We start from the raw sequence: 25708 nt of genomic DNA, 5'->3' as shown, positions 1-25708 counted from the left end.
TGGCCGGGCTGGTCTCAAACTCCCCACCTCAAGTGCTCTGCCCGCCTCGGCCTCCCAAAGTGCTGGGATTACAGGCATGAGCCGTGGTGTCTGGCCCTAATGTGAGTGATCTTTAACACTGAGCACTTGAAAAAGAAAACCCTGAAGAAACCTAATTCTTTGATGTCTGGATGACAAGGAAGAAGATAGAAATGGCATCAGATAATAAACAGTGTAAATGTTTATCAGAAAGAGGCTGGTGGTCGGGACAAGTAGGAGGATTGCTTGAGTCCAGGAGTGCATCTCTACAAAAAAGTTAAAGGATTTTTTAACATTGGCCAGGCGTGGTGGCACACATCTGTGATCCCAGCTACTTGGGAGGCTGGGGCAGGAGGATTGCTTGAAGCCCAGGAGGTTGAGGCTGCAGTGAGCTGTGATCGAGCCACTGCACTCCAGCCTGGGTGACAGAGCAAACTCCAGTCTCAAAAAAAAAACAAATAATAATATTTTACATAACCAACCACTTCTAAAGATTAAAAAAACCCCTATGATTAAAAACCTCAGGTCCCTCAGGCAATCATACCAGATATTGAAACAAAGCAATAACATAAGGACTGCAGTATTCATTTTATTTTTATATTATTTATTTATTCTTCCTTAGTTTCTTGAGATTATCATCCGCTGAGGGTGGAAGGGGAGTGAGCAGACACACTTGGGAGGTGTCTTGAGATTATCATCCGCTGAGGGTGGAGCTGAGGGTGGAAGGGGAGTGAGCAGACACTCGGGAGGTGTCTTGAGATTATCATCCGCTGAGGGTGGAAGGGGATAGAGCAGACACTCCGCAGGTGTCTTGAGATTATCATCCGCTGAGGGTAGAGCTGAGGGTGGAAGGGGAGTGAGCAGACACTCGGGAGGTGTCTTGAGGCTCAGGGAGTTATCAATTATAGAATGTTGTTGAGTTGGAGGAGGTGGCTGGTGGCCCATCCTGTTTTTTAAAGTTTCAGCTGTGAGGTAGGGCCAGTAGGGCAATCCTGAAGAATGACGATGCTCCGCTGCCGCCATTCTGACCTGTAGGGCCAAAGGAGGGAATGTTTTCACACATATTCATTTGATGGACAAAATTACCGCCACCAACACAGTCTGCACCTTCTGTTGCTGGTGATAGATTTTTGCACCTTTCCATCCTCCAGGTTTCAAAATAGCAGTGTCAGTGTCATAATATCACCCTTCCACTGAGTACTGCCGACAGCTGGGGGGTAAAGAAAAGTCATTGGGACACACTGTTGTCTCCACATGCCACTGTGTCTGTCTGCAAATGTAGGCAGGCTGGGGTCCTGCCCCAGGGAAGACAGAGTCATAACAGAGTAATAAAGAAGCATGTTTGAGACACAGGAGTGTCTATGTCTATCCTCATTCCTCCCTCACAGCCATCACCAGAGCATGTTTCTTGCACCAGGTCAATAGACAGTAAGAGACAGTAAGAGAGGCATGAAAAGCCCATTGTCCACACATGTTGCAGCTTCTTTTTGGAGAATGTTTTCCAGGCCTTTTATGTTCTGTCTCTGATTCTCAGAACTCTGCAAGGTCAGTGTGACCACCCTGCTCCAAATCTAAGAAAACAGAGGTTTCCAGAGGAAGGAGAAATTGTGCCCAGGGTCACACAGCTTGCAAGAGGCAGAGTGGAAGTTGATTCCAGCTCTGCCTGCAGGACCCTCTCATTTCCCCTCTGTTTCCCTTCTTGACAAAGGATCTTCTTCACTCTGGAGGTGCCACCCATGAGAACAAAGAGCTCTGGAGAGATGTGGATTCCTGAAGAGCTGCAGGGGAACTGGGAGAGGGTTTTCTGACAGAACAATCTTACCTCAAGAAGTCAGTTAGGCATGGCTGTAATATTTCTTTTCACTCCCAGGTAATACCAAATTGTAAGTGCACTAGGACCTAAAGAATACTTTTGTCCATGGAAAAATGAGGTGGGAATTCTAAACAAAGCAAGTTTTAAAACTGTGTTTCACTTCAAGTGTACAAGTCCCATCGCGTGTAATCATAGGACTCGGCAGCTTTTGAAGGTACAGAGGCCACACAAGAACCAGCTTAGCTGAGCATCATTTAAGGCCTTCATTTGGAATTGTCCCTGTGGGTAATAAGTTACATTCACTCTTCACTAATTTACAGTCAGGGCCCATTTGCTATTACAAATACGGAACCTCTGACACTTAGAATATTAGATGGGGGCCCCACTGGGTGGGGATGAAGGTGTTTTTGCGCAACACGGTTACCAACAGGGATGGGACTGTGATGCTTGTAGGCAGCCTTCCTCTCTGCCATCTCCCTCTGCAGGGCTTGAGCACAGAGCCGTAGGGAGAAAAATGTATCCATGTCCTGACCTGGCAGACTATGTCCAAAAGCAAGGAAAACAAGCAAACTTACCCGGTTGCAAAGAGGCTTTCTTGCAGAAGGGGTGATCTGAAAAAGCCAACACATGAGAAATTGAATGTTGAGAGAGTCTAAGGGCCGTGGCATCATCTGCATCAGCACTGAACTATCCTGCAACTGCGGGGAGGAAGCTCCTTACTTTGCATCTGTAGTAGTCCTCTGCCCGCCGCCGCAACGCTTGCGCACGTTGAAACATTTCCCTATGGATTACAATCACTTTCATCAGATAAAGCACCACTTTCAGGATGATTTTAAATAATCTGCCATGTTTCTGTTATCCTCACAACTGTACCCTTACACAATCTATCTCTACCTAGAAAACGTATTTCAGATGGCTGTAAGAGTACAGTCTGAGCCGGTCACGGTGGCTGACGCCTGTAATCCCAGCACTCTGGGAGGGCGAGGCGGATGGATCACGAGGTCAGGAGATTGAGACCATCCTGGCTAATACGGTGAAACCCCGTCTCTACTAAAAATACAAAAAATTAGGCGGGGGTGGTGGCAGGCACCTGTAATCCCAGCTACTCAGGAGGCTGAGGCAGGGGAATCACTTGAACCTGGGAGGCAGAGGTTGCAATGAGCCAAGATCACGTCATTGCACTCCAGCCTGGGTGACACAGCGAGACTCCATCTCAGAAAAACAAAAACAAAAACAAAAACAAAAAAAACTGTACAGTCTGATCCAAACTGTTGCTGTATTGATTCCTCCTCTTGCTTACTGCCTGCTGACTTCTGAGATGATAGCTTCCTTCCCCATTCTCAGTATATCCCTAATTCATCCTTCATTGAGCATCTTTTATCATAAAGCTGTATTCTCTTTGTATTAATATCTTTACCGTGTTTCACAGGGCAGAAACAGCTGGGCTTATAAACAGGCATAGTCCTTTTGAAGGATGTGGTTGATCCTACAACAACACACTTTCCTAAGGATGACAACAACTCACCCCACCCCTAGAATGGCTGGTATGAACCGAGTTTCCACACAGTCTAGCTGGCAATGGGGTCAGGAGCCGTTTTGCTACTTCACATCTTTTGGTCACTGGTAAATATTAAGGTACTTTGTTTTCTGTTTTGTGAACTCTCTCTCTCTCTCACGATATGTCTTCTGACCATTTGTTTCTATTTCTGCATTTACTGGGTCTAAACATTGTACAAAGGTTAAAAACAACACTCCAATGGGCGTTTCCCAAGAGGGTGGGGTTCAGTTTCTGAACTCACATGTAGGTGTGTATTTCTTTCATATCCAATTTCCCGTTTTCCTCTGCCTCTGACACCTGCCTCTCCTTTTCTCCGTGCTCACGTTCTTTCATGCTTAGTTTCCTCAGACTAGAAGGGAGAGAAATGCACACACATGATCCACCAGCCCGTGTGGGATTCCCTCTGCCCTTCTGGCATCTGAAGGCTGATTCAAAGATCCCCCCTGCAACCTTCCCACAAATGAACCAACTGATTCTCACAAGCAAAGGGAGAATGGACACCTCCCATTGAGGGACAAAAAAAAAATCACACTCTGGCCTGCTGGCAAGTCACCTGTCATTTCCAGCTCATCTTCATAGTTCCATAGTTAGTCCTATTCTTTAGTAAATATAAAGACTATTAAAAGCTTCTATGAGGTGCACTATGTGTGTCTCTGGGGTCAGTCTTGTGCTTGACACAGCGAAAGCTCATTTTAGTTCAGTGTGAAAAACCAGACCTCACCAATTCATCACAACTAACTCCATCGGAGGCAGAGGATTGCTCCTCATCTGACTCCTCCTGTGTGAGACCTGATTCTCAGTCAGAGGCTGATGCCGGAACTGAGACCATCAGCCATAGAGAGATCCTTCCAGAATATGGTGTCATTAACCCCGCAGTTCACTACTGCACTTTGCCATGATTCAGGACTGGAACTCTTGTCATCGACTTTAAAGATCCTGAAAAGGCAATCTGAATGCTGGGCGCATCTATTGAATTAGAAATGATCGGAATGGCTCCTAAGTCAGGGTGTTATGTCCTGAAAATAGGTGACAACTGCAAACCATCCACCCTGGTGTTGACTGACTTTAACAAGGTTCAGTTCACAGAGATTGAGGGCAGAAAAAGGAAACGGCCTCAAAAGGGTAAGTTTGCTGTGTTGCCCTCACACCACTTGATTCATGGTCCTGATCCTAAGGATCTCACCTGATACTTGGTTTTATAGGAAGGATGTGTAAAATTCCCAGAATGCTAGGAAACAGGGATGAAAACACTTCAAAGAGAAAGTTAATGAACTTGTTTCTGACCACAGGGCATCCTTCAGCACATGCTGTCTGGAGTGGCCTCAAACAAGGTGTGTGTGGTGAGGTGCTGACAATGCAATGGGAGCAGGGTCCTGTCCCCACGCTAAAGAAGCTCACAGTTTAATGCAAATGAGAAGCCAGTGAGGACAGCACTACTCCTGCTGTGCACTTGGGAACTAGAAACACAAAACCTGACTCTGGAGGGAAGCTAAGGAAGCATTCTACTCTTGAGTTGACATAAGTGCATCTGAAGCTTCTGATCTCCGATGAGAACAATGGGGGACACCAAACAGAATATAAAACCCATGACTGAATACATCAAATTGCTCACATGGCAGTAAACAGACATGAGGTGAAGATGGAGAAGAAGGAAACCCAGGACGAAAGTCAGCCTCGCATTTGGAACCCATTTCCCTGAGTTTCATTGCTGAATTCCAGAAGGAACTACTGAGATGCAAAGAAGCACAGCAGCTTTTGCACACATGTGTGGGGTTAGATGGAAAACAAGTGGATTGAGGGTCTGCCAATGAAAGCGACCCATACTGAAGTCCACTGGCTCTGGTTGAGACCCAGAAGAGTCATGCATCAGAATAGAGGTGGACAGGAAATACCCTGGCCTTTGTAGGGACTGAGCCTGCACTGACGACCTCAATTGCAGCCTGTATGGAGGACCCCTGACCATCCCCCAGAAGTAGACTCCCATCTCTTCTGCAGCAAGATAACATGCTACTAGGCCTCAATTCATTGCTAAATATTTTTTAACAAGTATCTCACATTTAACAAAAAAAGATCAGTCATATGGCAGCAAAATACAATGTAATATGACCAAAACATGAAAGACTGTGAAAATGAATCTGGAGGTGACCCGAGCATTGAATTCAACAATCCAGGCTGGGTGCGGTGGCTCACACCGGGAGGCTGAGGTAGGCAGATCACCTGAGGTCAGGAGTTCAAGACTAGCCTGGCCAACATGGTGAACCCGTCTCTACTAAAAATACAAAAATTGGGCTGGGCACGGTGGCTCACGCCTGTAATCCCAGCACATTGGGAGGCCGAGGTGTGCGGATCATGATGTCAGGAGTTCTAGACCAGCTTGGCCAATATGGTGAAACCCCGCCTCTACTAAAAACACAAAAATTATCCGGGCATGGTGGCATATGCCTGTAGTCCCAGCTACTCAAGAGGCTGAGGGATAAGAATCGTTTGAACCTGGGAGGCGGAAGTTGCAGTGAGCCAAGATCTTGCCACTGCACTCTAGCCTGGGTGACAGAGTGAGACTCTGTCTCAAAAAAAAAAAAAAAAAAAAAAAAAAATTGGCCAAATGTGGTGGCACACTCCTGTAATCCAAGCTACTCGGGAAGCTGAGGCAGAATTGCTTCAAACTGGGAGGCAGAGGTTGCAGTGAGCCAAGATTGCACCACAGCACTCCAGCCTGGGCGACAGAGCGAGACTCTATCTCAAAATTTAAAAAAAAAAAAAAAAGGCTGGGTGTGGTGGCTCACGCCTCTAATCCCAGCACTTTGGGAGGCTGAGGCGGGTGGATTACCTGAGGTCAGAAGTTCGAGACCAGCCTGGACAACATGGTGAAACCCCATCTCTAGTAAAAATACAAAAATTAGCTGGGCGTGGTGGTGGGCACCTGTAATCCCAGCTACTTGGGAGGCTGAGGCAGGAGAATTGCTTGAACCCAAAAGGCAGTGAGCTGAGATTGTGCCATTGCACTACAGCCTGGGCAACAAGAGCAAAGCCCCATCTCAGGAAAAAAAAAAAAAAAAAAAAGAGAGAGAAAGGAAAACCAATGCCAGTACTAGCAACTCCTCTTCCCCTGAAAAAATGACAAACAAGAATGTAGGAAGGGAAAGGAATTATACAGCTTAAACTAATGAAGCAGAAAGGACAAACTCAATTTTGAACCCACTGAATTTGCCACAAATATTGTAGAAAATATTCTCAAGGACTTTACAGTTGTCTACTTTGATTGGCACATGGTTCATACAACAGTATTTGTGTCAAGGCACATCTTACTGTTCTTTGGCGGTCTTCCTCTTTCCATTGATTTTGTCATGACGGTTGACTTTTGTTGTCACCTTCATCTTACAGATTTTAGCTCGAACTTTGGTTTCCACCTGTCTCCATAAAGTAAAGATGTCTTCCAGGACAATTTTAATTCCTGGAAAGGAAGAAACTCTTTTCTTTGTGTGCATACAAACGGACCTCAGCCCTTGGTGAGAGTGAGGAGAGGAGAAGGTGAGAAACCTGAGGGCAAGAAGCTGTTCTTTCCCTTTCCAGGGCAAACTCATTTCCACACTATGGGGACTCCAACAGAGCCATACCTTCCTGTCTACGGCGGTTGGACCTCCTGGCTCTCTGCTGTACATCCGTGGATCCATCATGTCCATTTTGAGACGGGAAGATAGTCTTCAGGAAAGACACCTAGGAAATAATAATATAAGAATGACGGCTGGGCACGGTGGCTCATGCGTATAATCCCAGTACTTTGGGAGGCCGAGGCAGGGTGGATCACGGGGTCAGGAGTTCAAGACCAGCCTGGCCAAGATGGTGAAACCCCGTCTCTACTAAAAATACAAAAATTAGCCGGGCATGGCAGTGGGCGCCTGTAATCCGAGCTACTCGGGAGGCTGAGGCAGAGAACCATTTGAAGCTGGGAGGCAGAGTTTGCAGTGAGCCGAGATCACACCACTGCACTCCAGCCTGAGCGACAGAATGAGACTCTGTCACACACACACACACACACACACACACACACACACACACACACACACACAAAGAATGACATGAGGCTGGCACGGTGGCTCACTCCTGTAATCCCAGCACTTTGGGAGGCCGAGGCAGGCGGATCACCTGAGGTCGGGAGTTTGAGACCAGCCTCACCAACATGGAGAAACGCTGTCTCTGCTAAAAATACAAAATTAGCCAGGCATGGTGGTGCATGCCTGTAATCCCAGCTAGTCGGGAGGCTGGGGCAGGAGAATCACTTGAACCCAGCAGGAAAAGATTGTGGTGAGCTGAGATTGTGCCATTGCACTCCAACCTGGGCAACAAAATTGAAACTCTGTCTCAAAAAAAAAAAAAAAAAAATAGGCCAGGTGCGGTAGCTCACGCCTGTAATCCCAGCACTTTGGGAGGCCGAGGCGGGTGAATCACAAGGTCAAGAGATGGAGACCATCCTGGGCAACATGGTGAAACCCCGTCTCTACTAAAAATACAAAAATTAGCTGAGCATGGTGGCGCACGCCTGTAGTCCCAGCTACTCGGGAGGCTGAGGCAGGAGAACTGCTTGAACCCAGGAGGCAGAGGGTGCAGTGAGCCAAGATCCCACCACTGCACTCCAGCCTGGTGACAGAGTGAGACTCCGTCTCAAAAAAAAAAAAAAAAAAAAATGACATGAATATACTTCACACAACTGAACTGTACACTTCAACACGGTTAGATGGTAATTATCATCTTGTAAGTATTTTACCACAGGTTAACATGTTTCACAACTTGAAAAGGAAGTAATTAATTACCTTCAGCTCTCTGAGTTCTAGAATTTGTAACATTTCACCCCCTGCTCCTTCCTGATCTGCACTGGAGCATCTTTCTTCTGTCCCTGCTCTACTCAGAGTTCACTTTCCCTTCCCTCACATCAGCTTCGTTGAGGCTGGTTTGAACTTAACGCAAAACATTCTCACTAATGACTGAATTCCCGCCAAGATTTCCATATTATCACAGTATGCTTTTAATCTTCTAAGATATTAAATATTTGTTCTCATCATAGCTAAAATGCAATGCAAATCCCATCTCAGATGTGGGTCAGATACCTATGAATCTCCTGAGGTAGTCATTGAAATGACTTTTTTCTTGAGACGGAGTGTCACTCAACCATGCTGAAGTGCAGTGGCGCTACCTTGGCTCACGGCAACCTCCACCTCCCAGATTCAAGCGATTCTTGTGCCTCGGCCTCCCAAGTAGCTGGGATTACAGGTGCCTGCTACCATGCCTGGCTAATTTTTGTCTTTTTAGTAGAGATGGGGTTTCACTATGTTGGCCCATCTGGTCTTGAACTCCTGACCTCAAGTGATCCACCTGCCTCAGCCTCCCAAAGTGCTGGGATTACAGGCATGAGCCACCACACCTGGCCTGAAATAATATCTTTCAAATTCTTTGTAGAATTTGTTTTTTCCTGATTTCTGCACATAGGATGAAAAAAAAATCATGTACTAGGATTTCGAGAGAAGCAATGGGTAATCTAAAAAGATGAAAAGAGAAACCACGTCTATCCCACAGCTACTGCTAGATTTCATAGGAAAGGTAGCTGGCCCAGTTTGGAGCTAGGAGAAATGTCAAACACATGAAGAAATGAGAAGCAAAGAAATGCCATCACACATGAATGCTTCATGGCACCCATGATGTCCCTGCTTAGGAGGTAATGGTATAGATGACTAGATGACAAGGACAAAGATGAGAGGTGCAAAGTTGTCCAAGTCCAATAGCTCAACTGAACTTTCCTAATGGAATTGTTAAAAAGTGGTAAATTTAAAAACTTCCCCTGGCTCACGTGGTGGCTCACGCTTGTAATCCCAGCACTTTGGGAGGCTGAGGCGGGTGGATCATTTGAGGTCGGGTTTTGAGACTAGCCTGGCCAACATGGTAAAACCCCGACTCTACTAAAAATACACAAATTAGCTGGGCATGGTGGTGGGCACCTGTAATCCCAGCTACTTGAGAGGCTGAGGCAGGGGAATCACTTGAAGCCAGGAGGTGGAGGTTGCAGTGAGCCGAGATCACACCATTATACTCCAGCCTGGGCAACAGAGGGAGACTCGTCTTGGGGGTGAGAAAAGAAAAAAAAAAAGCTTCCTCCAATTTATACCGAAAATTCTCTGTTCAGGACTAAGTGGCATAGAGAATGTTAAATGTGCCTAGATATCTTCATAACTCATATATTTTCTGTTTTCTACATATCTTGAAAGGCAGTGCCAAATGACGTGTAATTATCTAGGCGGTAAAACTGAAACATACTTCCTCTTCCCTTGAATATCAAAAAGCATTGTGGTATTAGTACTTTTATCTTGGATCATTGTTCAGAAGGAGGTTCAGCCCCCAGACAACCACATTTTTACTGTCATGAATGGCAAGACAAAATGTAGAGCTCAACTTACCCAAAGGATAAAAGGCTCAAAAGACAAATTATGGCACAACTTAGCAGCCAAATTCTTACCAAGTACAGACTTTTGACATACTGATCTCTCTCCAGTTGCAAGTGGGAACATGCACTTTGAATGATGTCATTCAAAATTACCCTGCCCAGACACACTTTTCATTGATTCTCTTGGAGGGCAGTTCTAAGAGATTCTCTGGGGCTTTCTCTGCATCATGAGACGCAGTGCAGTTCTGCCCTTCACCTTCCGGCAGTTTGTCACCTCGTCCCTATGACCTCCGAGGAACTTTGTCTCAGGCCAACTGTTTGTTCCTTGGGCTCTTTCATTTCCCCTAAAAATCATTTGCTGCCCCTCTAAATGGCCTACATCTCCATCTATCTCCCTCTCCCCTCAGAAGAGGGTGCTCTTTAAGCATCAACCATCCAGCCCTTCTAGCAGTCTCATTTTTCAGCTGGTTCCCATGTTTATGTCTGTTCTATGTTTTTCTTTTCCTGTTAAGCTGTCTGTTGTCAGCTCATTTCTGCAGTGAATCTTCAGAGAGGAGATTGGAAGCTTTCCTTCCACCCATACGATAGAACTATAAAGCAGAAGAGTTTAGAAAGACTTTCCCATTTAAGTGACGAAACCTCATACTCCATTTGTGACAAATAGCACAAAGGTTAAAAAAACTTATTTTTGACCAAAAGCTCTGTTGACATTCTATTAAACACCGACCTATTTAATTTTCATAATGTAAATGGCAGATATTTTCATAATTCTTATGCTAATAAATCATTTCCCTGATTTTTTGGGTAAAACCACATATTCACAATGAAGTCCAGAAACGTGAATTGTTTCATATAATTTACTCTTATTTGTGATTACAAGTATACCTCTACAGAAAGTTAGTATACTCACACAAAGGTAACTTGTGCAGAGGGAGATGGCAAATTTATAACTTCTCAGAAACACAGTAATGATAAGTAACCAAGGACTTCCACCAAAGTCAGTCCCACGATGACGATGGTCAGCCAGAGTATTGATAACCTGGAATAATAATAGTTGAAATAATGAAAAGGTCAATGACACTGACAATATTTCACTCAGAAAGAATCATCCTTAGAAACCGTCAACCTCCTCCAAAAGGTAACCACATCCCTCAGATATCACCATGGGATTCCACTGCTACAAAAAAGAACAGAAGTTAGAGAAGTCTCATGTTTTTCAGATGGCTGGTAGTGTTTTTAGGCATTGCAAATGTGGGGTGTTGTCATTCTTGGTATAAAGCAGGGATATCCAATCTTTTGACTTCCCTGCCTATATTAAAAGAAGCAAAGTTGTCTTGAGCCACACATAACATACACTAACAATAGCTGATGATCTAAAAAAAAAAACTTTTTTTCTTTTTTTTTTTTGAGACAGAGTTCCGCTCCACTCAGTCGCCCAGGCTGGAGTGCAGTGGTGCAATCTTGGCTCACTGCAACCTCCAGCTCCTGGGCTCAAGCCATTCTCCTGCCTCAGCCTCCCGAGCAGCTGAGATTACCGGTCTCTGCCACCATGCCCGACTAATTTTTGTATTTTTAGTAGAGATGAGGTTTCACCATGTTGGCCAGTCTGGCCTTGAACTCCTGACAGGAGATCTGCCTGCCTCGGCCTCCCAAAGTGCTGGGATTACAGGTGTGAGCCACCGTGCCCGGCCATTTTTTTTGTTTTTGTTTGTTGTTTGTTTTTGAGATGGGGTCTCACTCTGTCACCCAGGCTGGAGTGCAGTGGTGTGCTCTCGGCTCACTGCAACCTCTGCCTCTCAGGTTCAAGTGATTCTCCTGCCTCAGCCTCCTGAGTAGCTGGGAGTACAGGTGCCTGACAGTGCACTCAGCAAATTTTTGTATTTTTTGTGGAGATGGGGTTTTGCCATGTTGGCCAGGGTGGTCTCGAACTCCTGACCTCAGGTAATCTGCCCGCCTCAGCCTCCCAAAGTGCTGGGATTACAGGCATGAGCCACTGTACCTGGCCAAAATCTCCTAATGTTTTAAGAAAGTTTACAAATTTGTGTTGAACTGCATTCAAAACTGTCCTGGGCCACATGCAGCCCGTCACTCATGGGTAAGACAAGCTAAGTATAAAGTAATTATCTTTTCTTTTCTTTTTGTTTTGAGACAAAGTCTTGCTCTGTCGCCCAGGCTAGATTGCAGTGGCATGATCTCAGCTCACTGCAACCTCCGCCTCCCGGGTTCAAGCGATTCTCCTGCCTCAGCTACTGAGTAACTGGGATTACAGGCGCCTGCCACCACGCTCGGCTAATTTTTGTCTTTTTAGTAGAAACAGGGTTTCACCATCTTGGCCAGGCTGGTCTCCAACTCCTGACCTCATGATCCACCTGCCTCGGCCTCCCAAAGTGCTGGGAATACAGGTGTGAGCCACTGCACTTGGCCAGTAGTTATCTTTTCTTTAATTATTTGTTTTTTAAATTGATGTATAACATTGGATGCATTTATTACATATCACATGGTAAAAGAATCCCTCTAAATAATACTTCTCTCTTGGATTACATGAATCTTTGTCATTTAAAGCTCAGTATAAGTAAAAAAAAAAAAATACAATGAAGAGATTACTTCATTCACAAATAAGTATCGAATTTTAGTGCTTAAAAATTAACAAGGTGGGCCGGGCGTGGTGGCTTACGCCTGCAATCCCAGCACTTTGGGAAGCCAAGGTGGGTGGACCGTGAGATCAGGAGATTGAGACCATCCTAGCTAACACGGTGAAACCCATCTCTACTAAAAATACAAAAAATTAGCAGGGCATGGTGGCACGCGCCTATAGTTCCAGCTACTTGGGAGGCTGAGGCAGAAGAATCACTTGAACCCGTGAGGCAGAGGTTGCAGTGAGCCGAGATCGCACCACTGCACTTCAGCCTGGGTGACAGAGTGAGACTCTGTCTGAAAAAAAAAAAAAAAATTACCAAGGTGGAGATCATGAAAATGGCATGAATAGTGTGGGATTTCTCTAAGATTGTTGATATTAATTCCATTAGACTCTTATGTGAGTGAAGACGAAGACTTCCCCTGAGTAAGTTCAGACAGCTTGTGATAACATTTCTACATCAATTCCTCAGGATTTAACTATATATTCTTGAAAACATCTCAATTTTAAGTGTTTCTTTCAAGATGGTGAATTAAACAGAGATAGCCCTTCAACAGGTTGAACTCAGCATATGCTGAGTCTGAAATGGAAATGATGGAGTTAGAGAACCATACAACAATGGTAATGATTTCAGAAACATGGTGTTGAGCAGAACAAAGCAGACACAAAAGAGTACCTATGGCATGGCATGCATCTGTATACGCGAAATTCCAGAATAAGCAAGCTAACCTATGATAAGAAAGAGACTGGCTGGGAAGAGTGAGAGTTCACTTTCTGGGGTGACATAATAGTGTAGATCTTGGCTGGGCACGGTGGTTCACGCCTGTAATCCCAACACTTTGGGAGGCCGAGGCGGGCGGATCACCTGAGGTCGGGAGTTCAAAACCAGCCTGACCAACATGGAGAAACCCTATCTCTACTAAAAATACAAAATTAGCTGGGAGTGGTGGCACATGTCTGTAATCCCAGCCACTCGGGAGGCTGAGGCAGGAGAATCGCTCGAACCTGGGAAGCAGAGGTTGCGGTGAGCTGATATTGCCCCATTGCACTCCAGCCTCAGCAACAAGGGAGAAACTGTCTCAAATAAATAAATAAATAAATAAATAAAATAATGTAGATCTTGAACGGGGGTTGGTTTATGCTGGTGTATGTACTTTCCAAAGTTAGTAAACTTACACTTGAGGTTATATATTTTGGCCAGGCGCGGTGGCTCACGCCTGTAATTCCAGCACTGGGAGGCCGAGGCAGGCGGATCACGAGGTCAAGAGATGGAGACTATCCTGGCGAACATGGTGAAACCCAGTGTCTACTAAAAATACAAAAATTAGCCAGGCGTTGTAATCTGAGCTACTCAGGAGGCTGAGGCAGGACAATTGCTTGAACCCCGGAAGCGGAGGTTGCAGTGAGCCGAGATCTTGCCACTGCACTCCAGCCTGGGCGACAGAGTGAGACTCTGTCTAAAAAACAAACAAACAAAAAAAAGTCATCAAACCAGATGACACAAATCAAATGACATTTCACTTTGTTTTGGTCCGTTTTGTCTGTTGGAGACAAGAGTGCAGCGGGGCCATCTCGGCTCACTGCAACGTCCAGCTCCTGGGCCCAAGCGATCCTCCCACCTCAGCCTCTCCAGTAACTGGGATAACAGGTACGCACCACCAGGCCCGACTAATCTTTTTTGGAATTTTTTGTAGAGATGGGGTTTCGCTATGATGCCCTGGCTAGTCTTCAACTCCTGGACTCAAGTGATCTGCCCACCTCGGCCCCCTAAAGTGCTGGGATTACAGGCCTGAGCTGTGTAATTTCATGCCGCGTGACACAGCCCAGTAAAAAGGAACAAACCCCGCGGGTCCAGCGTCTACTCACACAGGTGGACTGATGGCTGATAAATCCCAGCAGGAGCCAAAAGAGCAGCCACAGCACCCATCTACTCACACAGGTGGACTGATGGCTGATAAATCCCAGCAGGAGCCAAAAGAGGAGCCAAAAGAGTAGCCACCGCACCCGCATGTCCTGGTCCTTTCAGGGCTCCCTGAGGCGGCCAGGACAGAGGTGGAGGTGGCTTAGGGCAGGGGGGAGGGAAGGGGACGGGGACCGGGGCCGGATCTGAGTTGGGGAGGGGGAGGGGAGGGGGAGGGGAAGGGGAGGGGAAGGGGGGAAGTAAGGGAAGGGAAAGGAGGAGAAGGGGGCTGTTGGGGAGGAGGAGGAGGAGAAGAAGAAAGGGGTCTGGGAAAGGATCCGGTTCAAATTAAGTTCTCAAGCGCTGGTGGAAGGTTTAGCTACAGGTCACGGAGAAGATCAGGGAAGCAACAGGACAGGCAGGGCAAGGGAGCGTGAGGCTTAGGAGCAATTAGAGGGAGACAAAGGTTCTGCTTTCCACCAAACCTTCTTCGGTCTGGGCCCTCCCTTAGCAACCCTGGGGCTTTAGACTCTCTCTCCACCAATCCCTGATGACCCCGGTGGTGCCTCACAATGGACATTCCAAGTAGCGCCCGCATCATCCCAATGACCCCTCCCCCATCTCAGTCCCCCACGCTCCTCCCAAGGCCAGGTCCTCTCTGGAACCTTCACAAACCTGACTTCTGGTCCTCCCCAACCAGCTCCCTGTCCCTGCTTCTGGGCGCTCCTTCCTTCCTGAGCTCCCAGGGTTCCTCAAGGTCACTTTTGGCGACAAAACATAAAAAACAAATGATGGCAGGATGGCAGGAAGAACCTCATACCCAAGCAGAGTGCCAGGTTTTACAGCCTCCGCTCAGCCATTCATATCCTAAGCAACAAAACATCAGCAGGATGCGGAAGGTCCCGATAGTAAACCATCTCCATCACATCCATGTAGCCATCCGTCCATCAACCTGTATCTCAGGAACAAATGTACATACATTCATTTTAAGCATGCATGGTACATTTACAAAAATTAACCTGACTTATTTTGTTCCAGCAAATCTCAATATATTTGAGAGCAATCAAATCACACAGCATGTTTCTGATCATAAAACTGTGCTAGAAGTCAATGATTAAAAGCTAATTCAAAATTATTATTTGCTTGGAAATTCAAAGTGCCCTTATAAGACATAAACATAAGAAAGAATCCAAAATGAAACAAGATTGCCTTTCAACTCAATGATGAGATCATAACATGGCAATAAAATGTCTCCCTCTGGCCGGGGAATTCCTCTTTGTGGCACAACGTTGTGTGATCTCAAATCACCCCTAACCCACCTAGACATTTTAACATCCAAAACCGAGTGATGATGTCCTTATCTATATCATCTTACTGCCCGTGTGTGTGGACTTTAAATTCTGAACCCAAATGAGGGGGAGAAAACCAAGCTGACTTTCATGACTGAGCTCTCAGGGACGTCCAAGGAATCTGTGCATTTCAAGAAACAAAGTTCATCAGCTTCTCTCCTAAGGTATTTGCCCACAATAGCCAGAGGGCTTGGCCGCATCATGTGTGATGGGTGGGGAGCTCCAAGCAGGTGGGCAGGACCCAGGGGCCTGGTGACCAGGACAGACCCCCACTGTCCATCACCTTTCCTGGCCCTGTCCTCAGCTAAACTTCCCACAGGCCTTCTGCCCGATCACACAGAGTGTGCCCAAACTCACTCAGGCCTCTGGCAGCTGAAAACCACTGCTTTAAATCCCTTTACCATTTACTATGACATAAGGTTATTGTAAACAGGAAATATTCTATTGATGCTACAAATGGAAAGCCAATGCCTTTACCATAAATAGAAAAACAACCCTAAGAAACAAGCAAAACAGGGGCTGGGGGTGGTGGCTCACGCCTGTAATCCCAGCACTTTGGGAGGCTGAGGCGGGCGGATCACAAGGTCAGGAGTTCCAGACCAGCCTGGCCAATATGGTGAAACCCTGTCTCTAATAAAATACAAAAATTAGCTGGGTGTGGTGGTGGGCGCCTGTAGTCCCACCTACTTGGAAGGCTGAGGCAGGAGAATAGTTTGAACCCGGGAGGCAGAGTCTGCAGTGAGCCGAGATTGCACCACTGCACTCCAGCCTAGGTGACAGAGCGAGACTCTGTCTCAAAAACAGCAACAACTACAAACAAACAAAAAACAGGGTTAACAAAAGTATGGAATTCAATTCTTTTTATATGCTGCAGCCATGTTCCAGCCCTAGATTTGGCTGGGCATGGTGGCTCACGCCTGTAATCCCAGCACTTTGGGAGGCTGAGGCAGGCGGATCACGAGGTTAGGGGTTGACACGAGCCTGGCCAATATGGTGAAACCCCATCTCTGCTAAGAATACAAAAATTAGCTGGGCATGGTGGTGCACACCTGTAGTCCCAGCTACTCAGAGGCTGAGGCAGAGGAATTGCTTGAACCCGGGAGACGGAGGTTGCAGTGAGCCAAGATTGTGCCATTGCACTCCAGCCTGGGGGACAGAGTGAAACTCTGTCTCAAAAAAAAAAAAAAAAAATATATATATATATATATATGTGTGTGTGTGTGTGTCTGTCTGTGTGTGTGTGTGTATCTATATAAATCTCAAAAATAAAAGATCATTTTTGAGATTATCATTTTAAAAGACAAGATAATGTTCAACTTAATGAATAATTTAATTATTACTACTGGACTTTTTGTAGACTGCACAGAGCATTCAAAACAAATGAAGGAGAATAAAAAATATGTATTACATGTTGTAAAATAAATATGATGTGGTTAATTCTTTTATTCAAAATTATAGAACATATATATGTACTGTAGAATGTATTTCTTATTATGAGTCATGTTAAAAAGTAGTTTAGAAGCTGTTGATTTGAATTTCCTTTTCAAATTTTGCAGGATAATTTTTTTTTTTTTTTGACAGAGTCTCGCTCTGTCGCCCAGTCTGGAGTGCAATGGCGTGATCTCGGCCCACTAAAACCTCCACCTCCTGAATCTCAGCAATTCTCCTGTCTCAGCCTCCTGAGTAGCTGGGACTACAGGCTGACACCACCATGCCCGGCTAATTTTTGTATTTTTAATAGGGACGAGGTTTTGCCATATTGGTCAGGCTGGTCTCGAAGTCCTGGCCTCTGGTGATCCACCAGCCTCAGCCTCCCAAAATGCTGGGATTACAGGCATGAGTCACCATGCCCAGCCTAAACTTGGCAAGATAATAAATAACCTTTTAAAGTGTCGTTGGGCACTTGTCTGGTTGTTTTTCTTTAGGTTACCATGCCAGCAATGATTCCTTTTGAGTTTCTGACAGAAGATAGTGGTTTTCATCCAAATAAGTCAACTACTCTACCCCATCCCTAAGCCACTTGTATGGAAAGAAAAAGAGGAAGAAGCCAGTACTGAGACTGCGTAAGCTTCCCCCAGCATCACCCGCTATGAGATGTGTGGCAGCTGAGACCCGGGAACTGCTCAAGGGCACCAGGCCCCATCTGTCTGCACTCACTCACCTTCCTCAGGTACTCGCATGGGCATGTCACTGACTTTACGTGCTGCTGCAGCTCCTTGGTGAGCTGGCCCTGGTCATGGGACAGGAACCGTGGGGTCAGGACAATAGAGAGCTTCACCATTTGCAGAATGAGAACAGGGGCTCATGATGAGTGCCAACCTATTAGACAATTAAAAAAAAAAGTGTTGAATGAGTGGAAAAACAAGGTGATGTTTGAGTCTATAGTGGTCAAGGGCTTCAGAAAAGGACAGAACCAAGTTCAAATTCCTGTACTTTGAATTTCTACTTCATGCCATGCAAAATTACTTTACCCCTTTTAACCTCAGTTTTCTTCTGTGTGAAACAGGAACAATAGTTTCATTCGTCATTCAGTTTCTCTCAAGGTTTCACGAGATCATACCTATAAAACATCCAAGTCATTTAAATGTATCATCATTTCGGTCATAATTAGTGGGATCCATTTCACTATTATTGGATATACAGTTCTGTGCCTGAAACCTACAAAGAAAGAAAATGTTAAGTCTAAAAAGCATTAGTGATTTCTCATTTTTATATTACTAATTATAACCCTATTTAATCACACAAGGCCTTGTCCGCGGCAGGTGCTCAATAAACACTTGTCGAATCAATGCATGTGGGCTCCGGAGCCACACTGTTTAGATTCTATTCTGCCTCCACCACTTATCAGCTGTGTGATCTGGGTAAGATAATTCACCTCTTTATGTCTGCACTTCCCTCTCCATAAACTATATATAACGAGAATCCTTAGCTCATTTGGTTGTGGTGAGGGGTGAATGATTTGGCACACAGGAGGGGCTTGTTAACATTAGCTGTGATGATCTCCTTCCAAATCTTCATTTTCAGAGCCACAGATGAGGCCATAGGGCAACCAGGTGACCTTAGAGTGTAAGTACACATGATCGCCAGCTATGCTCTATCTCCACCATAGGTCCAAGACTGGGTAGTTCTGGCCTGGAGGCTTCTGCTGCATCTGCCTTCTCAGTGTTCACCTAATGACTTTTGTATTTTCCTCCTCACATCCCCACAGATGGGGTTCAGGCTGCCGAACACAGCTGGGTGATGCCAGGGCAGTGGCCACCTGTGCCAGCCCTGTGAGGTAGCTGGAGGATCATTGTTCCTTCCTTCTCGGGCTCTGGGCAGATGCCAGGGCTGGGGTGACCCATGACCTCAAGTTTCTTGCTTTGGAGGGCCACATTTTCCCTTGGCAAAGAGGGTAAAGGTCACAGGATGCCGGAGAGCTGTGACTTCTCTGTGCCCTGGGCCCAAACTATGAAGACCTGACACACTATGCTAAAAGTCCAAGGCTGGATGCTCCCCAGAGCTTCTTGCCTCACCGCTTCTGCTGAGGGAGGAATGAATACTATGTCCTCCCAGAGCTTTGGGAGCTTGTAGCAAGCAGCCTCCCCAGCGCAAAATCTCTTGGAAACCTCTAACTGTGTCGGAAACATTAGTGCAAATGTTGCATCCTATTTCCCATATGTCCGCGTGTTTTAGGAAAAAACCCTCAATTTCCTAAATATGCAAGAAAAATTGGTATTGTAGGACAATGTGACTTTTTAAAAAATGTTATTTAAACATCTTCCCCACCTCCTTTTCTGCCCTCCAAGACTGCCAAATACTTGTTGAACAAATATTATTAAATGCCTACTACGTGCCAGCCATGATTCATGGTCTTGGGGACACAGCAGAGAACGAACTGACAGGATTCCTCCCTTATGTAATTCACATTCTTATATGATAATGATAAGGGTTAACATTAATTAAGCTGTCACTACGTGTTAGTCACGGTGCAGTCATTCCCACACATTATTACACTTAAACCTGCTAGCAAGCTTGCAAGGTAGTTAGTTGTTTTTCCTTTAAAAACTGAGTCTCAGAATGATGAAGCACTTTGTCCAATGTCACACAGCTAGTAAGTGTGGAGACCTTGCATCCAATCAATGCCCGTCTCATTCTAAACACCACATTATGTGTTCTCCAGCCCATGGAGAATAATTTTAACACAGTCAATGAAATTTCTACACAACAATGTTCTTGTCTCAAGTCCAAGAATGCCTCCTACACCTCCCATAATACTGGCTTTCTGGTGAGTAAAGATGCCATTCTCATGTGTAATCAGGTGGCAAATGGAGATATGACCAAAGTAACCATTTGCCTACACTCGTAACCCTGTACACACTCTTCCTGTGTCGATTCAATTCAAGTACCCCTTTTGATCACTTAGCAAATCTGACCTTTAAAAGGGTTAAGGTTTTTATATCCATGTAAGTTTCTGTATTGCTTTGGAAGTCTCTGGTTAAATGAATACCCTTTTTAATAGTGACCTGTGATTCTGTTTTGATCAAGTGTTTACAAACTTGACATCTTTGATGGGTTTCTCCAGTGTCAAAATCCTAAATCAGGTCTTTTTGGCTTAAAATTAACTTTGGGATTTTTCAGCTGCATCCCTTCGGGAGTCTAAAGAATGCATCTCTCATCTTGTAGAGGTATTAAGTGATTCGATTTATTTGGTAGATTATATGGGCGGGCATTGTCAAATGTGGTGATACTGCATGGGAGGGCACTGTCAAGTGAGGTGACATTAGATCTCATCTCAGTTATATTTATGGGTATGTTGTTGATATACGTGTTCCAAAAATTACATACATTTATACAAATTTAATATGTTATGATTTGTAATTTTGATTGTTATGCTAAATATTTGCTAAAGTTTAGCTTTAGCAATATTATGCTAAATATATGCTAAATATTTGCTAAAGTTATATTTGCATAAACATGTTATGAATGGCTGGGCACCATCACTCATGCCTATAATCCCAGCACTTTGGGAGACCAAGGCAGGTGGATCACCTGAGGTCAGGAGTTCAAGACCAGCCTGACCAATAGGGTGAAAATTACACGAAAATACTGTCTCCATGAAAAATACAAAAATTAGCCAGGCTTGGTAGCACAGGCCTGTCATCTCAGCAACTCGGGAGGCTGAGATAGGAGAATTGCTTGAACCCAGGAGGCGGAGGTTGCAGTGAGCCGAGATTGCACCACTGCACTCCAGCCTGGGCGACAGAGCTGGAATCTATCTAAAAAAAAAAAAAAAAGTTATTAATTATTTCTGAAGATGATATGAAATTTATAAAACACTGGTGGTCCTGATGTAATGCTGTCAGTCATGATTCTGATCACTGTCTTAAAATGCTGCACATAAGATAAGTAATTGGCTGGGCACAGTGGCTCACACCTGTAATCCCAGCACTCTGGGAGGCCGAGGCGGGTGGATCACGAGGTCAGGAAATCGAGACCATCCTGGCTAACACGGTGAAACCTCGTCTCTACTAAAAACACACAAAAAAAAAATTAGCCGGGCATGGTGGCGGGTACCTGTAGTCCCAGCTACTTGGGAGGCTGAGAGGCTGAGGCAGGAGAATGGCATGACCCTAGGAGGTGGAGCATGCAGTGAGCGGAGATCACGTCACTGCACTCCAGCCTGGGTGACACAGTGAGACTCCGTCTCAAAAAAAAAAAAAAAAAAAGTAATTAAATTTCCTTGTGAACTGGGAAGTTTCATCAGACTTTTATCATAACTATTGTTTTCATCATCCACAGTTAGTTTTGAATTCTTCTCTAAAAATATTTGTAATTGGCAGTAGTCCAAATTTTCTTTTGTTTTCTTTCCTGTTTTTGAGACACAGTCTGGCTCTGTCGCCTAAGCTGGAGTACAGTGGTGCCATCTTGGCTCTCTGCAACCTCTGCCTCCTGGGTTCAAGCGATTCTCCTGCCTCAGCCTCCCAAGTAGCTGGGACTACAGTCGCCCGCCACCACGCCCAGCTAACTGGTGGTGGTACAGACGGGGTTTTACCATATTGGCCCGGCTGGTCTTCAACTCCTGACCTCGTGATCCGCCCGCCTCAGCCTCCCAAAGCGCTGGGATTACAGCCGTGGAGCCACCGCGCCCGGCCCCCAAATTTGCTTTGCATGGAGAAAACTCTAACAAATCCTCTTGAACATGGTTTTCTGATAACCCAGATCAATGAACTACCCAGGCTTCACCACTATAGGCATGTGAGAAACTCGCACTTATACCCCCTCAATACATTAAAACTAAATATTTTTTTAAAAATCAATGGGCCAGGCGCAGTGGCTCACGCCTGTAATCTCAGCACTTTGGGAGGCCAAGGCAGGCGGATCACTTGCGGTTAGGAGTTCCAGACCAGCCTGGCCAGCCCATCTTACTAAAAATACAAAAATTAGCCAGGCATGGTGGTGCATGTCTGTAATCCCAGCTACTCGGGAGGCTGAGGCATGAGAATCGCTTGAACCTGGGAGGCAGAGGTTGCAGTGAACCAAAATTGTGCCACTGCACTCCAGCCTGGGCGACAGACTGAGACTCTGTCTCAGAAATAAAAAAAATAAAAACCAATGAACTAAAAACCAATTTCTAGTGGCTTCTAATAAGGAAACAATGGTTCAAAAAACTGCTAAGCAAGATCAAGCAAAACAAAAAAATCTATTAAGATAATGTTTTTATAATTCGTATTTAAAACATTGTTGTTTGTTGATTCTTGATTCATTCTTTTTTTTTTTTTTTGAGACGGAGTCTCACTCTGTCACCCAGGCTGGAGTGCAGTGGCGGGATTTCTGCTCAGTGCAACCTCCGCCTCCTGAGTTCAAGCCATTCTCCTGCCTCAGCCCCCCGAGTAGCTGGGATTACCGGCGCCCGCCACCACGCCCAGCTAGTTTTTGTATTTGTAGTGGAGACCGGGTTTCACCATGTTGGCCAGGCTGGTCTCCAACTGCTGATTTCAGGTGATCACCCCCCCGCCTGGGCCTCCCAAAGTGCTGGGATTGCAGGCGTGAGCCGCCGCGCCGGGCCCTTGTTTTGTTTTCTAGATTGAAGAAAATTTTTTCTCAGAAGTTATCTAGAATTTACACCGATTTGGTAAAGCACACTTTTGTGAACAAAGGTGGGTGGAAGCGTTTGTTTTTCCTTCCTACTTGATCCTTCCAAAGTTTGGAAACTATTCATAAATATTCTTACTTTGATGTACACATGTTCTCCTTATAAGCAGGCTGTAATCAGAATGATTGGTTATATTATCAAGGCTTTGACTGAAACATCCTATTTAAGAATACGCAGAAAATGCCTGGCTTCGAGTTTGCAGCCTTACGTTCCAGTCAGGGGGAAACTGTCACTCCCTGCAGGCCTGAGAACCTGAGAGCTTTTCCGGGAGCAACTTGGCAGGGAGGGTCCCGGCAGCTGCTCCGTGGGCAGGAACCATGGGGCGCAGCCCCGGGCGACCCTCGGGCCGGCGGGGACCTTCCGCTTCCTGGCGTCTTTCTCCATCGCCCCGCCGGCTGCTGGGGAAGCGGCGGGTGCCCAGTGCCTGGAGGTCGCTCTCTCCCCACCTCTGGCTGCGGGAACGGAGAGGCCGCGGCGGCCGGAGCAGGGTGGGCGGCCTGAGGCGAGAGCCCAGCCGGCCTCCGCGGGGAATATGGCGACCTGCGGCGAGCTGAGCGTCAACTGCTGCGCCGCCGACTTCTCGGAGCAGCGAAGGCGACTCGAGAGAAGACGCCGCCAAGTGGAACCCGGGCCCCGCGGCCCTGGGATGGGGCAGCAGCCACTGCAGCCAGGAAGCCCTGGGCGGGGCGCTGGGCGCCAACGAGCGTCACGGCAACCTCCATGCGGCGCCCTCACCAGCCTACAGGCGGCACCGCAGCAGCCTCCAGGCAGCGCCCACACCAGCCTACAGGGGTCGCCGCTCGCACTGCACCTGCCTCCGCCGCCCCGGGGTGTGAACTGCGCTGTCTGTCGGCCTGGCTACGCTGACCCGGGCAGCCCAGGCCCGCAGCAGCCGGACGAGGAGCCCAGGGCCACTGCCCGGGGTTACGAGAAGGAGCAGGACGGTGCCCCAGAAAAATGCAAGAGCTCAGAGCTAGGGCCCCCGTGCCAGGAAAGGCTAGGAGCAGAAGATGGAGAGATGGAGATGGAGAAGCGGCAGGTGGGAAGGAGCGGCGCTCCACCGGTGGGGTCAGCATGCGCTGGCGGGGCTTAGAGTATGAAGAGGAAGAAGCTGGGCAGAAAGAGCGGAAACGAGAAGGTGCAATGACACAACAGAGCACAATGCAGAATCCAGCCCTAGGACTCCAATAAAGGCTGGGTTTAATTGCAACTCACACACCCCACCCCTAATCAGAGAGGATCAGGGGAGAGAGAGGACCCAAGGAACACTGGAACCTGAAGGGCGGGAATCTGAGGCCAAGACTGATTGTTGGAAATTGTGGGCATCAGGAAAGGAGAAAGTGAGTCAGAATGGGTGGACCGAGGGTGGTGTTGGGGCGGGGGGGGCAGTGAACTGGGTTAGGAAGGATTAGAAATCAGAACCTTAGGAAGGATCCAGAAAGGAACTGTCCTTAAAAAGGTGCATGCTGCGGCTGGGTACTGTGGCTCACGCCTGTAATCCCAGCACTTTGGGAGGCTGAGGCGGGCAGATCACGAGGTCAGGAGATGGAGATCATCCTGGCTAACACAGTGAAACCCCGTCTGTACTAAAAATACAAAAAATTAGCCAGGCGCGGTGGCAGGTGCCTGTAGTCCCAGCTACTTGGGAGGCTGAGGCAGGAGAATGGCGTGAACCCGGGAGGTGGAGCTTGCAGTGAGCTGAGATCACACCACTGCGCTCCAGCCTGGGTGACAGAGCGAGACTCCATCTCCGAAAAAACAAAAACAAAAATTAGCCGGGCATGGTGGCACATGCCTGCAGTCCCAGCTACTCGCGAGGCTGAGGCAAGAGAATCGCTTGAACCAGGGGGAAGGAGGTTGCAGTGAGCCGAGACTGCGCTACTGCACTTCAGCCTGGGAGACAGAGTGAGACTCCTCAGAAAAACTGCTTTCTTCCAACTTACAAAAGCCGGAAGAAGAAAATGTCATTTATTTTCATGGTAGGAGATTTATGCCAAGATTGTACACCAGGTGGAGACCTGTACCAGCTCCCTCTGCTCCCATCTCCCAGAGTTCTAGGAATTTACTCTTGCACACTGGCTCTTTCATGTCTCTTCGACTTTGCCTACGGAGGTCTCTCTGCCTAGCATGCCTTCTCTCCATGTCTCACCATTATCCTCCGGCTTTATTTATTTATTTATTTATTTATTTATTTATTTATTTTTATTGTTTGAGAAAGTGTCTGACTTTACCTTCCAGGCTGGAGTGCAGTGGCGTGGTCACTGTTGACTGCAGCCTCAAATTCCTGGGCTCAAGAAATCCTCCCGTCTCAGCCTCCCAAGTAGGTATGCATCGCCACACCCAACTAGTTTTTTAATTTGTGTGTGTGTGTTTGGTAGAGATGGTAGAGATGTTGCCCAGGCTGGTCTCAAACTCCTGGGCCCCACTGATCCTCCCACCTAAGCCTCCCAAAGTGCAGAGATTACAGGTATGAGCCACCACACACACCCAGCCTCTCCATCTGTTTTATTTATTTATTTATTTATTTATTTTTGAGACAGAGTCTCCCCCTATGCCCCACACTGGTGTGCAGTGGCGCAATCTTGGGTTCACCGCAACATTTGACTCCCGGGTTCAAGTGATTCTCCTGCCTCAGCTTCCAGGGTAGCTGGGATTACAGGCGTGCACCATCATGCCCAGCTAATTTTTCTGTTTTTAGTAGAGACGGGGTTTTGCCATGTTGGCCAGGCTGGTCTCAAACTCCTGACCTCAAGGGATGCACCTGCCTCAGCCTCCCAAAGTGCTGAGATTACAGGCCTGAGCCACCATGCCCTGCTACTGCACCCAGCTACTCAAGGCACATATGGAGCCAACATACTTGACCATCTGCA

At 46.6% G+C, this 25708-nt stretch overlaps 2 protein-coding genes across 20 annotated transcripts in view; one reads left to right on the top strand and one right to left on the bottom strand.

Moving 5' to 3' along the window:
• Positions 1-587: 587 nt before the first annotated feature.
• On the bottom strand, positions 588-23517 carry NPIPA2 (nuclear pore complex interacting protein family member A2). 18 transcript variants are annotated; one of them, NM_001277324.3, is made up of 12 exons: positions 22917-23517; positions 21120-21213; positions 18264-18361; positions 17865-18022; positions 15175-15306; positions 10730-10858; positions 7004-7103; positions 6696-6840; positions 3631-3738; positions 2552-2612; positions 2407-2442; positions 588-1047 (listed from the first exon to the last, which is right to left on the bottom strand). In NM_001277324.3, exons 5-12 carry the CDS (start codon positions 15235-15237, stop codon positions 637-639), a joined length of 1053 nt encoding a protein of 350 aa, NP_001264253.1. In that variant the 5' UTR covers positions 15238-15306; positions 17865-18022; positions 18264-18361; positions 21120-21213; positions 22917-23517; the 3' UTR covers positions 588-636. The 18 variants fall into 18 exon arrangements, with proteins under 18 accessions (NP_001264253.1, XP_006720980.2, NP_001382415.1 ...); XM_006720917.5 differs by lacking the exons at positions 15175-15306; positions 21120-21213; positions 22917-23517 and adding exons at positions 1841-1910; positions 15030-15116 and having other exon boundaries at positions 18175-18309; XM_011522594.4 differs by lacking the exons at positions 588-1047; positions 15175-15306; positions 21120-21213; positions 22917-23517 and adding exons at positions 1210-1228; positions 1841-1910; positions 15030-15116 and having other exon boundaries at positions 18175-18309.
• A 37-nt stretch (positions 23518-23554) lies between these two features.
• The window catches only part of LOC100652777 (group 10 secretory phospholipase A2), a 33438-nt gene continuing 31284 nt past the window's right edge, over positions 23555-25708 (top strand). The window contains exon 1 of one of the 2 annotated variants that reach the window (XM_047435004.1): positions 23555-24178. The gene's annotated coding sequence lies outside the window, so the exon portion shown is untranslated. Of the gene's footprint in view, positions 24179-25081; positions 25163-25708 lie in introns of those variants that run through there. The other variant, XM_011522790.4, reaches the window with a different exon arrangement.

Source organism: Homo sapiens, chromosome 16 (assembly GCF_000001405.40).
Source record: "Homo sapiens chromosome 16, GRCh38.p14 Primary Assembly".
Lineage (NCBI taxonomy): Eukaryota > Metazoa > Chordata > Mammalia > Primates > Hominidae > Homo > Homo sapiens.
Note: the sequence above shows the minus strand (reverse complement) of the source record. Positions and strands in the feature narration are given on the sequence as shown.

Coding starts and splice junctions, on each gene's coding strand:
- NPIPA2 (XM_024450383.2), bottom strand. CDS start 17,984: ATGGTGAAGCTCTCTATTGTCCTGACCCCACGGTTCCTGTCCCATGAC. Junction 7,104..10,729: donor TCTGCACAAGTTACCTTTGT/GTGAGTATACTA, acceptor ATTATTTCCTAG/GTGTCTTTCCTGAAGACTAT. Junction 2,443..2,551: donor AGGACTACTACAGATGCAAA/GTAAGGAGCTTC, acceptor TGGCTTTTTCAG/ATCACCCCTTCTGCAAGAAA.